The following is a 16,068-nucleotide window of genomic DNA, read 5'->3' on the forward strand; positions in this document are numbered from 1 at the left end:
CCAGCCTGGCCAACATGGCAAAATCCTGTCTCTACTAAAAATACAAAAATTAGCTGCATGTGGTGGTGTGTGCCTGTAATCCCAACTATTCCAGAGGCTGAGGCATGAGAATCCCCTGAACCCAGGAGGTGGAAGTTGCAGTGAGCCGAGATCGAGGCACTGCATTCCAGCCTGGGTGACAGAGTGAGACTCTGTCTCAAAAAAAAAAAAAAAAAAAAATGGCATCACTGCTGGGTGCAATGGATCATGCCTGTAATCCCAGCAACAGGAGGATCTTTCGAGCCCAGTAGTTCAACGCTAGCATGGCCAACATAGCAAGATCCCTAGGCCCTATTTCAAAAAAAAAAAAAAGTTTATTAGTTAGACGTTTTGGCATGTACCTGTAATCCCAGCTACTTGGGAGGCCGAGGAGAGAGGATTGCTTGAGCTCAGGAGTTCCAGGCTCAGTGAACTATGATGGCATCACTGCACTCTAGCCTGAGCAACCCTATCTCTTAAAATAATAATAATAATGTTTTAAAAGAAAACTAAAAGACATCACTAAAGAAGTCTTTGGGCTGAATGTTGAAGAGGGATTTTGGGAATAAGAGAAGCATTGTAGACTGAGGAGACAGCAAGTGAGAAGATGTGAAGAGCATGGGACCTTCCCAGGCTAGCAGAACCAGCGTGGCTGGAGCAGAGGGCCAGGGGAATGACTGTGAGTGAGCGCGGACAGGGGCCAGGGACTAGACTGTGAAGGGTATTTGTATTAGTCTGTTTTCACGCTGCTGATAAAGCCATACCTGAGACTGGGCAATTTACAAAAGAAAGAGGTTTATTGGACTTACAGTTCCATGCGGCTGGGGAAGCCTCACAATCATGGCGGAAGGTGAAAGGCATGTCTCATATGGCAGCAGACAAGAGAAGAGGGCTTGGGCGGGGAAACTCCCCTTTATTTTATTTATTTATTTATTTATTTATTTATTTAGAGACAATGTCTCCCTCTGGTGTCACCCAGGCTGGAGTGCAGTGGCACAGTCTCAGCTCACTGCAACCTCTGCCTCCCAGGTTCAAGCAATTCTCCCGCCTCAGCCTCCTAAGTAGCTAGGATTACAGGCATGTGCCACCACAGCCTGGCTAATTTTTGGATTTTTAGTAGAGATGGGGTTTCACCACATTGGTCAGGCTGGCCCTTTTTAAATCATCAGATCTGATGAGACTTATTCACTATCACGAGAACAGCACAGGAAAGACCCACCCCCATGATTCAACTACCTCCCACTGGCTTGCTCCTGCAACACATGGGAATTCAAGATGAGATTTGGGTGGAGACACAGCCAAACCATATCATTCTGCCCCTGGCCCCTCCCAAATCTCATGTACTCACATTTCAAAACCAAACATGCCTTCCCAACAGTCCCCCAGGTCTTAACTCATTTCCGCATTAACTCAGAAGTCCACAGTCCAAAATCTCATCTGAGACAAGGCAAGTCCCTTCCACTTATGAGCCTGTAAAATCAAAAGCAGGTTAGTTATTTCCTAGATACTATGGGGGTACAAGCATTGGGTAAATACAGCCATTCCAAATGGGAGAAATTGGCCAAAACAAAGTGGCTACAGGCCCCAGGCAAATCTGAAATCCAGCAGGGCAGTCAAATCTTAGAGCTCCAAAACGATCTCCTTTGACTCCATGTCTCGCATCCAGGTCACACTGATGCAAGAGGTAGGTTCCCATAGTCTTAGGCAGCTCCGCCCCTGTGGCTCTGCAGGGTACAGCCCCCCTCCTGGCTGCCTTCACTGGCTGGTGTTGAGTATCTGAAGCTTTTCCTGGTGCATGGTGCAAGCTGTCAGTGGATCTACCATTCTGGGGTCTGACCCTCTTCTCACAGCTCCACTAGGCAATGTCCCAGTAGGGACTCTATGTGGGGGTTCCTGCCCCACATTTCCCTTCTGCACTGCCCTAGCAGAAATTCTCCATGAGAACCCTGCCCCTGCAGCAAACTTCTGCCTGGGCATCCAGGTGTTTCCATACATCTGAAATGTAGGCAGAGGCTCCCAAACCTCAATTCTTGACTTCTCTGCACTTGCAGGCTCAACACCATGTGGAAGTTGCCAAGGCCTGAGGCTTGTGCCCTCTGAAGCCATGGCCCAAGCTCTACGTTGTCCCCTTTCAGCCCTGGCTGGAGTGGCTGGGATGCAGGGCACCAAGTCCCTAGGCTGCACACAGGAGACCCTGGGACCGGCCCATGAAACCACTTTTTCCTCCTAGGCCTCTGGGCTTGTGATGGGAGGGGCTGCTGTGAAGACCTCTGACATGCCCTGGAGACATTTTCCCCATTGTCTTGGGGATTAACATTTGGCTCCTCATTACTTATGCAAATCTCCATAGCTGGCTTGGATTTTCTTTTCTATCACATTATCAGGCTGCAAATTTTCTGAACTTTCATGTTCTGCTTCCTTTACAGAACTGAATGTCTTTAACAGCACCCAAGTCACCTCTTGAATGCTTTGCTACTTAGAGATTTCTTCCACCAGATACCCTAAATCTTCTCTCTCAAGTTCAAAGTTCCACAAATCTCTAGGGCAGGGGCAAAATGCTACCAGTTTCTTTATTAAAATATAACAAGAGTCACCTTTGCTCCAGTTCCCAACAAGTTCCTCATCTCCATCTGAGACCACCTCAGCCTGGACCTTATTGTTCATATCACTATCAGCATTTTTGCCAAAGCCATTCAACAAATTTCTAGGAACTTCCAAACTTTCCCACATTTTCCTGTCTTCTTCTGAGCCCTCCAAACCGTTCCAACCTCTGTCTGTTACCCAGTTCCAAAGTCACTTCCACATTTTTGGGTAACTTTTCAGCAGCACCCTACTCTACTGGTACAAACTTTTGAGTGCGGACAGGGCCAGGGACTAGACTGTGAAGGGTGTTTGTATTAGCCTGGTTTTACGTCGCTGATAAAGACATACCTGAGACTGGGCAATTTACAAAAGAAAGAGGTTTATTGGACTTACAGTTCCATGTGGCTGGGGAGACCTCACAATCATGGTAGAAGGTGAAAGGCATGTCTCACGTGGTGACAGATGAGAGAAGAGAGCTCGTGCAGGGAAACTCCCCTTTTTAAAACCATCAGATCTGGTGAGACTTATTCACTATCATGAGAACAGCACTGGAAAGACCTTCCTCCATGATTCAACTACCTCCCACTAGTACTCTCCCACAACACATGGGAATTCAATATAATATTTGGGTGGGGACACAGCCAAACCGTATCAGTGTTAGAGCCAAAGTCAGGAGGTAGGAGCTGGGGTCAAGGGAATGGGACCCAGCAGAGGGCTTTACACAAGAGACTTACAGGATCAGCTTGGGGCCTTGAAAAGAGCACGCATGATGGTGGGGAGCTGGATTATTTAGGGAGTCAGCTGTTGGTGGGAAGAGTCACCAGAAAATGGTATTGCACAGTCCTAGTGAGAAAGGTGAATATGAGCCAGGCATGGTGGTGTGGACCTGTGGTCCCAGCTACTCCGGAGGCCAGAGCAGGAGGATCGCTTGAGCCTAGGAGTTAGAGGCCAGCCTGGGCAACATAGGAAGACCCCATCTCTAAAAAAATAATAATAATAACAAAAAAAGTTGGACATGAAGCAAGTTGAGAGTGGAAGGAGGAGTTCCTTCAGAACACGAAAGCCCAGAGAAGCCCAGTGATTGTCTTTAGTTCATACAGCTGGTGGCAGAGCCTGGACTTAAACTTATGTTAACACTAGAAGCAGGTGACCAATCTGCCATCTAGAGATTGCTTTCACATACGTTCCCAACCCCCCCGCCACACACACAGACTATTTTATAGAGGAGGGGAAGTTGAGGACCTGATAGGTCAGTCTCCATTTGTTTGGCAAATTGAAACAGGAAATGGCAGCACCTGAACAGAGGCTAAGCGAGGACAAACCGATTCAGTAAGCATTTGCTGAGCACCCACCACATGCCCTGGACTATGTCTTCAAGGACCTCCAAGTTTGAAAGGGAAGAAAACACATACAGAAAAACTCCAAACAAGGCAGACAGACGTGTGTTAGAATGGGCGATGGACAAAGATCCACGGGAAGACAGAGGAGGGTATGGTTTCAGCTGAAATCGGTGCCACAGCCTTGTGCAATCTAGGGCAGGAGCCTGAATGGTGGAAGGAGGCTTGGAGGAGGGAAAGGGGTTCCATGGATGACACTTGGTGCTGCAGCAGGGCCTGGCCTGGAGCTCAGGTCTTTCTGCCTCTTCTGCTTCTTGGCCCCTCAGGGATACTTGGGCTGGGCCCAGCTGACAGACAGATGCCGGTGCTGAAGCCAGAGTCGCAGCATTCCTGGGTCCTTCACTTGGCACAAGCCTGGAAACAAGTAGACACGACGTGGCCTGCCTGAGGGTGGGGTCAGGGACAGAGGGGCAGGGAGCTGAGGAGTTGGCACTATGGGAAGAGCCACTTTTGTCCAGGTTGCTGGGAGCTTCTGTGGCTCATGGTAGTCCAATAACGATGACTCCAGGTGACCTCTGTCACCATTTTCTATTAGGCAATGTTTCCTGCCCATTCCTGGTTTTAGTGGGCTAAATAATACCCTTGTGTATAAGATTTTTTTTTTTCTTTTTTGAGACAGAGTCTTGCTCTTGTCTCCCAGGCTGGAGTGCAATGGCACAATCTTGGCTTACTGCAACCTCTGCCTCCCAGGCTCAAGCAAGTCACCTGCCTCAGCCTCCTGAATAGCTGGGATTACAGGCATGCGCCACTATGCCTGGCTAATTTCTGTATTTTCAGCAGAGATGGAGTTTCGCCATGTTGGCCAGGCTGGTCTCAAACTCCTGACCTGAAGTGATCCACCCATCTCGGCCTCCCAAAATGTTGGAATTACAGGCATGGGCCACCACGCGCAGCCTGAAATATAAGATTGAAGAGATGGATTCCCTACGGTATTCACACATTTCCTTACCATGGGCTAGTCACTTAAAATGGCCATGCTAATATTTGTTTTATGGAAAAGTGGGGACTATCACATCTGCCTGCAGACTACGGATAAAACAATATTATAAAAATGTATGTTCAAGCCTGGGCAAGATAGTGAGACCTCATCTCTTAAAATAAATAAATAAATAAAAAATAGCAGGATGTGGTGGCGTGCATCTGTAGTCCCAGCTACTCAGGAGGCTGAGATGGGAGGATCACCTGAGCTCAGGAGGTCGAGGCTGCAGTGAGCTATGATCACGCCACTGTACTCCAGCCTGGGTCAGAGTGATACCCTGTCTCTAACAACAACAACAAAAAAATATGTTCATTAGGAGTCTATCCCTGAGCACAGCTAAAATTCTGTAGCACTCGTAGAATTGCTTTGTCAGTTCTACAGGAAATTGAGCCCTAGGTGAGTTGGCAATTGAGAAAAATTCCTGAAAAGAGAGGAAAGACTGAAAGTGGTCTAGTATTTCCTAGACTGCACTTCACTTCACATGACAGTGTGCTGCAAGGTGAAGGGGAAGGGCTAAGGACTCAGGCCAAACTTCAGCTTGTCACTTTCCCTCATTCAACACATATTTAGGACCTATATCATGTTCTGGGAAATTACTAGCTATGTGACTTACGTAGACAACGCTTTTGAACTTTATTTTTCTCATCTGGAAAACTAAAAATAATATGTATGTACCTCATAGGTCTATAGTAAAAATTAAATGAAATGTGTCTGTTGTAAATAATGTATTAGAACATCAGCTCTGTGTCTGAGCAGTGTAGGGCACTTAGGGATCCTGAGTTTTCACCCCTGACTGGTCTCACTTACTTCCTGGCAAGATTGGGCGGCCCTGACCCACTTGGTCTAGCGCACAGGATTGGCACCTGGCTTGTTCTGTCTTCTGTAGAACTCAGCCAGGATTTCAGCACGCCTACCAGCTGAGGTAGAGAACACAATGGAAGCAGAAACAGCTTCTCCCAAGGCTGACCTGGTGCAGTCTGGGCTGGTTAGTCAAGGGGAACAGAAACCACTCAAGTATCTAGTGGTTGATCAAACTCCAGCTGTTTGCCTCAGAGCCTTCCTTTCACCCAGCCTTAACTGCTATTATCTGAGGTCTATTCATACGTCCTGTATGCAGAGGGAATAGGTAAAGATTGGTTGCTCTTTGTCATTGAAGAAACCTGTGCTTCACTTCTCTTATTGAAGGAATCAGCCTTCCCCAGGATTATCTGGGCTCACTGGGCCCTACCGTGCAGGACTTCTTTTGAATGATTGCAGGTATCCTGCCTTTCTCTGGCCCACATGGCTCACAAACTCACCACTAGTCCTCATCACCAGCAGCCATAAGCTGCAACTGACCTGACTCAGCAGAAAAGAAATGAATGTACTAAAAGGATATTGGGAGAGCCAGGGAGCCAGGCCTGAGGCAAAGCTTCCAGGAACCATATCTAAGAAGTGCTGCAGAAGCTGTTGGATGAGAATGCTGCAGCTGCCCCTGAGTTCTTGCTGCTGCTGTTTGTGCACTACTAGGAGCCCACCTCCCCATGACTGCTGTGGTACCCACCACACATGCTGCTGCCACCCCAGGAGCACACAGCTGTCACCCAAGGCACGTCAGATGCATGTGCCACCATGTTCCCTTGAAAAGTGCAAGCCTGTGTATGCTTTTTCCTCACATTTGTTACCTGCAACTCAAAGTCAGGGGCCCTTGACTGGTGAACTCCAGACCACAGGCTCCTAACACAAGTTTTCTAGCTTTCATCTTAGAAAAGCAGGACACCTGTAATCCCAGCATTTTGGGAGGCTGAGGTGGGAAGATCACTTGTGGCCAGGAATTCAAGACCAGCCTGGGCAACATAATGAGACCCCCATCTCTCTAAAAAAAAAAAAAGAAAGAAAGAAAAAAAGAAAGAAAGAAAAAAGAAAGAAAAGAAAAGCAGGGCTCCTAAAGTGGGAAGATTTCCAAGCATTAGACCATGTGTCAGAAATAGACAAAAAATATACAGAAAATGTCCACTTTGTACTCTGGCCCCGGGCTCTCATCATCTTCCCAGTCCCACCTCCTCCCACCTGATGGAGCCAAGCCCCGGGCCCTGTGTTAAGGCTTGGCCTGAGATGTTCTGCATGGGGGCCTGAGCCATGAGAGAAGTGCAAGGAATTCAGATGGGCACTTCTTGACAGTGAGCAACAAGGGGATGCTGTCTGAGCTTGGGAACCCCAGAGGGGGTTAAGGGAAGAGTACCAGGGTGATGATTAGCTAGAGTCATAAAATGGGGAGATCTAGCATGGCCTTGGGGAACATCTAGTGGGCGTCACACATCCAAATGCCTGCAGAGGGGCCAGGCAGGTCAGACAATAGGGGATGATGGGGCCTGTGGGGATGCGCCTTTAGGCATTACATTCAAAGACTTAAGTCTACTGTGCAGAGGTGGTAAGAATGATACAAGTGGTTGTTGTTGGGGGGCTGATTGACTATAAAGGGGCATGAAGAAACTTTCTGCAGGTGATGGAAATGTTCTGTCTGTTGCTTTGGGTGGGGTTACATCTTATATACCTTCATCAAAGAAATAACTTAGATGTGTGCATTTTACCATGAAGTATACCTCAATTTAAAAACTTGGGGCAAATTCATAAAGCAATGTGGATCTGGCTCTCGGGCTAACCATTTGTAAACTTCTGTTGCAATCCGACTTCCAGAGGCGTCCTTGGCTCCTCATCTTGGAAAAGCGCGACTGCGGCGTGGTCTGGCGGGCGGCCGCTCACTGCGCGGTCTCCACGCCTGGCAGGTGGCGCGGGGCAGGCAGCTGTGCCAGCCTAGCATTTCCACCTGCCGGGAGGAGGCGGTCCCCTGGGGCCCGGCCGGCATCTCCCTGGCCTGAAAATGAGCCGGTCACCCCAAACGCCAACTCCGAAAGGAGCGGAAGCGGATGGAACAGCTGGTCCCAGGGAGCGCGGGCCAGGCGCGCAGATAAATCACGGACACACACTGCACGGATAGCTCCAGACTGGCGTTGAGTGCCAAATGCCGACACAGACACGGTCAGGTTCCAGGAAGAGAAATCCGATCCGATGCGCGCTAGGCGGCGGCGGCGGAGCACAGTGAAACCCACCTGAGGGGGAAGGGTTGGGGGGAACCCAATCTTGATGGAGCCCCTCCCCATGCGGGCACTTTGGGCACTTCCTGAAGTCCTACCTGGCCACCCGCCTGCCCGGGGCATCAGGCATCGCCACTTCACTGGGGAGAAAAGCCAGACCGCCGCAGTTCACGGAGCGGTAGGAATTGCGGTGGAATTCCAGGCCGGAGTGTGTGACCCTACGCCCTAGCTCCGTCCTCTCCTCCACCCCGAGGCGAGCAGGTGTCTGCAGGAGTGCCTCCAACCCCATTGCAAAGCGGACGTGGCCCTCGTCTCGATGTCGGCGCTGCTCGCCGAGAGGGACCCCGGGGTGGTGTTGGGCGCGCGGGGCGGGGACGGGGACGCGCTGCGGCCAAGTCCCCGGGCCCTGCGACCCGCAGGGACCTTCTGGACGCACGGAGCCCGGCCCTCCAGCCGGCGCCCGCCCTGATTGGCGCCCGAGGCCGGCCTCCCGCCGGCTCACCTGCCACTCCCAGCCAATCGGGGCCACCAGAATTGGGGCTGTCGCCGGGGGGGTGGGTGGCTAGGGCGGGAGGGGAGGAGATGCTGCCGGCCCGAGGCTGAGCCACCCTCCCCGCGGAGTTCCCGCCCGGCCCTCTGCAATCCGGAGCCCAAGCCGCCGGCTACGCGCCCTGCGCCCCCTTGGTGCCGCGTCCAGTGCCCAGCGCGCTTTGATGCTGCAGCTCCGGGCCGGGCCGCTCTGCTTCTCTGCTCGCTGGGACGCTCTCCGACGGCTCCGCCCTCGCCTCTCGCCCCGAGTCCCTGCTGACCCCGGGGAGGTGGGGTCCGGGCCGGGCACAGCCCCGCTGAGGCAGGATGTTCACGTCCAAGTCCAACTCGGTGTCGCCCTCGCCGTCCCTGGAGCAGGCTGACTCGGACGCCCTGGATATCAGCACCAAAGTGCAGCTCTACGGCGTGCTGTGGAAGAGGCCTTTCGGCAGGCCGTCGGCCAAGTGGTCCCGGCGGTGAGTGCGCCCCCGCGCCCCAAGGAGACCGCCGGGGAGAGAGCCTGGGCGTCGTTACCCCTCCCACCCCCTCCAGTCGCCGTCGTGCCTCTGCTTTCCTGTGTGACCTTGGCGTCACCCCTTTTCACTCTACACTGGCTCCCGCAGGAAAATGTGGACCATAGTCTGGGCCGGGAGAATGGAGATGGGGCCCCTGCCCTGGGGCGGTGGCAAATTCTCTATGGAATGAACCTGACCCTCGAGTGGGAATGTTGGGTGTGGGCAGAAGAGACCGTGGTCGGGGTGGGATCCCAGCTAGGTCAGATCAGGCCAGACTGAGGGGAGGCAGAAACTCCATCTCTAGCCAAAGATGCCCCCAACCCCGGGACCCCCACTGTCAATTCCATCGTCTTCACAACCCCTGACCCAGGCCGCGAGGACCGGGCCTGAGTGTCTCCCTCCCGCCAACCACCCACCCTTAAGACGGAGAGGGACCTGGCCCTTCTGAAAGGCTCAGGCTAAGGAGGGAGGAAGGGCCAGGAAGGGTGCTTGTCCATGGGGAAGTGACCTTGGCAACCCCTCCAACTGTCCCTTGAAATAATTTTTTTAAAAGTGAGCACAGGGAAGAGAGATTCTAGTGCTTCAGACGGAGGAGCTGGAAAGGAGGGAGGCAGCTGGAGTGAAGGAGGGGATAGATTGGTTCTGCCAAGGATTGATCCTCTGAAAGGGGTGGTGGAGAGAGACAGGGTAGTCCCAACCATCCTTCAGCCCCAGCTGCCTGGTCCCCAACTCAGACGCGACTCCGCGGACATCGGTAGCCACTCTCCACTTACAAATTAGCCTGGGAGGTATTGAGGGAAGAGGGAGTTCACAGCCCTGGACTTGCAGGAAGCTCCCAACTGGCTGCAGGTGCTGTGGGCCATTTTCTGGACAGTTTCCACTCTCCAGTCAATTTCAGTTCTGAGATTCACTACTGGTATGGCCTGGAGAATGCAGACCCTGTCCAGCCCTTCCGCGGAGGTGTGACCCTTCCAGGAAACCAGGGGTATCCAGATGCCCCTTCCCCATCCCACACTCTATGAGTCTGCCCCTGAGCAGAGGGGGCCTCCAATGTTCCCAGGACCACAGATCATGTGGATGTGGTAGTGGTGGGTGCTGATGTTCTGTTCTGATGAATAATTTAATGTTTCTATAAGACCGCAGAACAAATGGAGCTGTGGACAGTAGCTCACATTTTATATCTCTGGTTTCATGTTGTTTTGTTGCTTCTGACAGGTTTCTCTCTGGGATTTAATGGGATACAGGCTTCTTGAGTTCCTCCAAAGTTCAGCTTATCTCTGACCCCCTAAATGAAGGCTTGGAGCAACATGGAGTGTATTTGGGGAGCTTCCAGTATTGTGCTATGTGAGCTACAGCCCCCAGGGCCAGGAGAGCTGGGGTGGAAAGGCTGTGTGTAGATTCAAGCACAATTAGCAGAATATCTCCCCCCACCACCCATCTTTCTTCTGCCTCAGCAGCTCCAGATAGTTAATCTTTCTTTTCTATTGGGTCTGGCTGCTGTTCTGGGTCCTGTCAACCAAGACTTCTCTTGCCAGACATTTTCACCTGACAGCATCCCTAGAAAATGCTAGGTGCTTGTGACCCCCAGGGTATGTCCCCTGGTCCTCCCCTTCACCACTGCAGGTACATTGGGAAACTGGTCTCTGCACCTACAGTTGATTCCAGGGCTAGGAAGTGTCAGGAGTACAGGGCATAGGCCCCCAGCTAAAAGCACAATGGTAGTGCCAAGGAGGCTTGGAGAGGTTTAGTGTCCCCCACCCAGAGACTCCATCTTCTCCTCCATCCACTACCGTGGCCCCCAAAGCCACCCGAAACGATGCAATCAGAGTCTGAGCAGTATGTATGCTCTGCTAATACAGCTAAAAGTCAAGTCCTTTAGCCTCCTTCCAAGGAGATTGTTACCTGGGTTCCCTTCCTTTGTAGGAATTTCAGAGCTGCCACTGTGCAAAGACTACCTGGGGCTCAAGAAAGAACTAACATCCCACCTGCCCATTCTAGGCCTCTGTGTTCTCAGTTCTGGGAATACACAACACACACACACACACACACACACACACACACACACACACACGCTATTTAGTCTTGGGTCAGTGACAGAGCCAGCCAGAGAGGGCCTGGGTGTGGGGGAGAAAGATGCTCAGCTCAGCCCCCTCTCACTTCCCATCAGGGCCCCCTGGGCCCCAGCTTCCCATTTGTAAAGTAGAGTCTGTGGGCTCAGCTAATTAGCAGCCACAGGAAGACTTGGGGACAGAGCAGCTGAGGGCCGCCACCGCAGAGCCTTGCCATTAGGGCGATCAATGCCCTGGCTGGAGCAGTTAAGGGGAGGGGGCCTGAAAAGTCTCAGCACTGCATTAGTAAAGAATAAGCTGGAGAGAACTGGCTGTGGCCAGCTGGGTTCTATAAAACCTTTTCCACTCAGGGTCTGTCTTAGGACCTGTGCCTCCAGCTTCCACCGCCCAAGCAGCCCTGCCTGCCTGGGGTGGGAAGGTGCCCTTGAGCTGAAGGGTCAACTTATTTCCTGGGGGCAACAAAAGGGGAAGGGAATCAAAAGCATTAATTAGCAGAGATCAGATAATCTGGGAGAGATGTCTAGAAGGGAAGGCTGTTGACTGTGTCCTCATCTTGGTCTGTGAGTGGAGATGGAAGTGCAAAGACCTGGGCAGTGCCAGGACAAAGAGGAAGGGGGTGGGAAATCTCAGCCTCAGCCAGTGTCATGCTGTGAGGGCTTGGCCTAGACTAATTCTTTCCTGAGATTGAATGCTTTTTCCAGCATTCTATTCCACCTCCCAAATCCCTGCTGAACACTTCCCAAGGCCGGAACCCCTAAGGAGGAGGACCCACCCACTTCCTTCCTGCAACAGGAGCATCTATAATCCTCCTCACCCCTTCTCCTCCCCAGGGGCAGGGTAGCCAGTAGGGCCTGAACCGAGCTCCGCAGTTTACTCTTGCAGAGCATCGGTGGGTCCCTGACTTAGGGAGCTAAGATTCATTGTGTCCACCTGGTGCCAGTGGAGCCATGGAGACAGTGGCCATGTGTCCTAAATCTCAGGCCACAACCTGTACAGTGTGTAAAGATTATCTGTGCAGATGAGGGTCACCATGCCAAAAAGACTAGAGGAGACTTTCTTCCCACAGGGATTTGGAGCCCAGGGTTTTGACTTTGGTGCTCAGCACTGCTTCCCAGAGGTGACACCAATGCCGAGCTTTCCCAGAGCAGAGAGAAGAGCCTATCATGTCAGCTTCACGGCACTAGGCTCAGCCTCACCCTGGTGACCCTGGGGTTTGGTCTCACTTTCTGGCACCCCTGGCATTTCCCTCAGCTGGCTGTGTGAGGTATCCCACAAGCAGAATTGTAACATTTCCTCTGTGGAGGGTGCCTGAAGGACCCCCTTTAAAAAATAAACTTCTATTCTTCAAACTTCTACCAGAGTGGCAACATAGGGTGTGGGGAACAGTGACCAGGTGGCAGTTGAGGGGCAGGGATCTTCTGCTAATGTGTGTGGGAAGTTGGGGAGGGGACAGAGCAGAGGAGCTCTTTCAGCATTGATAAAGAAGAAGGACTTGGGGAACAGTGTCTCTGCCTCCAGAAAAAAAAGTGACCAAATTACTTTATTCTGAAGATTTCATAGTGTTTTTCACTCTCTGGCTCCTTGTTCCAGAGCTGTTCTCCCAAGCTCACGATAGGAAACTGAGGCACAGAGGCAGGGGGAAGGTGCCTTTTCTGAGTCTCCTCAGATTCCTCTACCCATCACCCTCTTCCCTTTCTGTGCTGGTAGCATCCAGGTTACAGTGAATCCTTGGGTTAGGGAGATGGGCACACTCTCTGGATCACCCAGCCATAAATGAAATGATACACATCAGGTCACTGGGGTCGTATGATTATTTACCCAGACCAGGTCTGCCAAAGTTAAGTGAGTTAATTGTGCAAACAGGTGGCATTTCTTTCTCACCCACTCCCTGAGGAGCTGCCCTCCATGGCTGTTGATGTCCTATTTGAAAATGAGTCTCACCTGTGTATGGGTCAGACCTCCAGCTTGCAGAGAGTTCAGCTTCCTTGTACCCAAGACTTAAAAATAACAAAGTAATTGCTTCTGAGAGCAGCTGTGGGTATGGTAGAAAGTGAATCTAAGGCCGGGTGTGGTGGCTGGTAATTCCAGCACTTTGGGAGTCCAAGGTGGGTGGATCACTTGAGGTCAGGAGTTGGAGACCAGCCTGGCCAACATGGCAAAACCCTGTCTCTACTAAAAATACAAAGATTAGCCAGGCATGGTGGTGGGTGCCTGTAATCCCAGCTACTCAGGAGGTTGAGGCAGGAGAATCGCTCGAACCTAGGAGGTGGAGGTTGCAATGAGCAGAGATTGAGCCACTGCACTCCAGCCTGAGGGACAGAGTGATACTCCATCTCAAAAAAAAAAAAAAAAAAAAAAAGGAAAAAAAAAGAAAGTGAATCTAAGCTTAGAGGCAGGTGCTCCAAGTTCCAGCCCCAGCTCTGCCAGTAACCAGCTGCATGATCCAGGCTGTGGCATTTCACCCCACTGGCCAGCAGTGTCTCATCTATAGAGTGGGAATGGGATGGGTCAAACTGTGTGCCACAAATGACCCCAGAGGTGCCTTGAGTCTACCACAAGGGAATGGGGAACAGGGGTACAGCTCCAAGACTCCCCACCCACTTCAAGCAATACCTCTGCACTGTTATATATATTTTTTGTTTGTTTGTTTGTTTGTTTGTTTGAGAGAGAGTCTCCTTCTGTCACCAAGGCTGGAGTACAGTGTCGTGATCTTGGCTCACTGCAACCTCTGCCTCCCAGGTTCAAGGAATTCTCATACCTCAGCCTCCCGATTAGCTGGGATCACAGGCATGTACCACCATGCCCGGCTAATTTTTGTATTTTTGAGTAGAGATGGGGTTTCGCCATGTTGGCTAGGCTGTTCTCAAACTCCTGACCTCAGGTGATCTGCCCGCCTCGGCCTCCCAAAGTGCTGGGTTTACAGGCATGAGCCCCCTGTTATATGTTTTACACCAGCAGTCCCCAACGTTTTTGGCACCAGGTGCCATGACTGGTTTCATGGAAGACAATTTTTCCAAGGACAGGGGTGGGTGTGGGGGTGGTTTCATCAGGCATTAGATTCTCATAATGACTGTGCAACCTAGATCCCTTGCCATGCACAATTTACAAAAGGGTTGGTGCTCCTATGAGAATCTAATGCCGCCGCTGATCTGACAGGAGGCGGAGCTCAGGCGGTAATGCCAGCCACGGGGAGAAGCTGTAAAAACAGATGAAGCTTCACCTGCTCATCTCCTGCTGTGTGGCCCAGTTCCTAACAGGCCATGGACTGGTACTGGTCCAGGGCCCAGGGGTTGAAGACTCCTGTTTTACACATTACGGTTGTCTTACTGTTGTTGGAATACTTGTTCCAGGGGGACTAAGTTTTTTGAGCCCCCTTGGACTTGATAATCTCTCTGAACTCTAATGTGTCATGACTCATGCATTTCACAGATAGAATTCCTGCTGTTCTGCCATCTTAGACTGGATGCCAGATGAGAAGCACAGGCCAGGATGAGCATTTCCTGAGCACACCAGGCCATCCAGAATGGACACAAGGGACACACACTGGGGCTGTGTCATTTCTACCTTCCTTCTGCCAGTTCTGAAAAGGACACTTCTGAGGGCAGTCCTTCTCCAGTTCCACCCCCTACATAGCCATTCTCAGTATCCAGGAGGCTCGGAGAGGAGGGAGACTGGCTGCTGGGCCTATTCTGGAAGTTTGTGCCCGGGGAAGAGGGAGAAGCCAGGCTGGATGTTCGCCTTCCTGGAAAATGTAACTCATGTGTAACTCACACATCCACTAGGCTCTTGCTGCTCTCTTGAGAGTGAGATAAATTTGGTCCCAAGACCAAATCCCATATCTAAAGGAAGTCTAAAATCTGTACCAAGGTTTCTGTTAATCTCTAAGAGGCTGTAAACTAGTTTCTTGGTTGATGGATTAATTTGCTGACCAATGTACACGGTCCTTGTTGCACAACCAGAGGTGGAACTCAGCTTTTATTCCTCAGTTTTCCAGCCTTCCACACTGCTGCATAAACACAGCAGGTATTTATGAGTCTAGCAGCCTATCCTGAAGGGAAGCTGTGGCAAAGAGGAGGGCAGAGGAGGTATTTAAATTACAGAATTGCAAACATCTTCAAATTGAGCGTTAGGTCTCTGGTAGGCACCCCACCTCGCTGTCACCAGAGATGGTGACATCACTCTCTCTCTGGACTCTTGGATCCTCCCAGGATCCTCTCTCCTCTGCACTCTGCCATCACTCCTCCTCCCTATTGTCCTACAGGATTTTCCCCAAATTCAAATTTCTTTCACTCTGTTAAGCAAAGCCCTTTCTAGCTCCTACTCCTAAACTCAGTGGCATTCGCATCTCCAAACATTAGGGAGCTCACCTGAGTGGACAGAGACTGGATAGGCCTTTGTTTAACAGGACCTGCCCAACATAGAAGATACCTGTGGTTCTAGATAACATTTTCCTTGGCTCCAGATGGGCTTATCATGAGGCAGTGGTGACCATCAAGCTCTGGTTGAGCCCTTGTTGCATTCAGAGCACTGGGGAGGGGGGCAGAAGATGGGGACAAAGCTAAAGCTTGAGAAAACCCTTCTTGGATTCCCTAATTCATATTGGATGGCACCTGTGCCACTCTGTGACCCAAGCTAGAGTCCTGGTCATCGTGTCATCCCAGTTCCTGCTCACTCTGCCCTTGTTTAACATTTCGATGAGCCTTGCTGATTTGTACCTCCCAATAAATTTAATTTTCCCTTTGCCTGGTTGTGGACTTCCCTATGGCTAAAACTACAATATGACCTTATAAGTGCCCTGTTTGAAACTTGCTGGCAGCTCCCCTTGTCTGCAGGAAGAAGTCCAGCGTCTTCACAAGGACTACTCACTCTGCCCCGCTCTGTCCCTGCTCTCTGACCTTAACTCAC

At 51.2% G+C, this 16,068-nt stretch overlaps 1 protein-coding gene across 2 annotated transcripts in view; it reads left to right on the forward strand.

The window, feature by feature from the left end:
• Positions 1–16,068, forward strand: part of PLEKHD1 (pleckstrin homology and coiled-coil domain containing D1) — a 63,808-nt gene that overhangs the window by 8,316 nt on the left and 39,424 nt on the right. The window contains exon 1 of one of the 2 annotated variants that reach the window (NM_001161498.2): positions 8,669–9,055. The exons of the other annotated variant lie outside the window; for it this stretch is intronic. Within the exon in view, the coding sequence (NP_001154970.1) occupies positions 8,907–9,055 (149 nt within the window). The 5' untranslated portion in view covers positions 8,669–8,906. Of the gene's footprint in view, positions 1–8,668; positions 9,056–16,068 lie in introns of those variants that run through there. 2 annotated transcript variants of the gene reach the window in all.

The sequence above is a fragment of the Homo sapiens genome, chromosome 14 (assembly GCF_000001405.40).
Source record: "Homo sapiens chromosome 14, GRCh38.p14 Primary Assembly".
Taxonomy (NCBI): domain Eukaryota; kingdom Metazoa; phylum Chordata; class Mammalia; order Primates; family Hominidae; genus Homo; species Homo sapiens.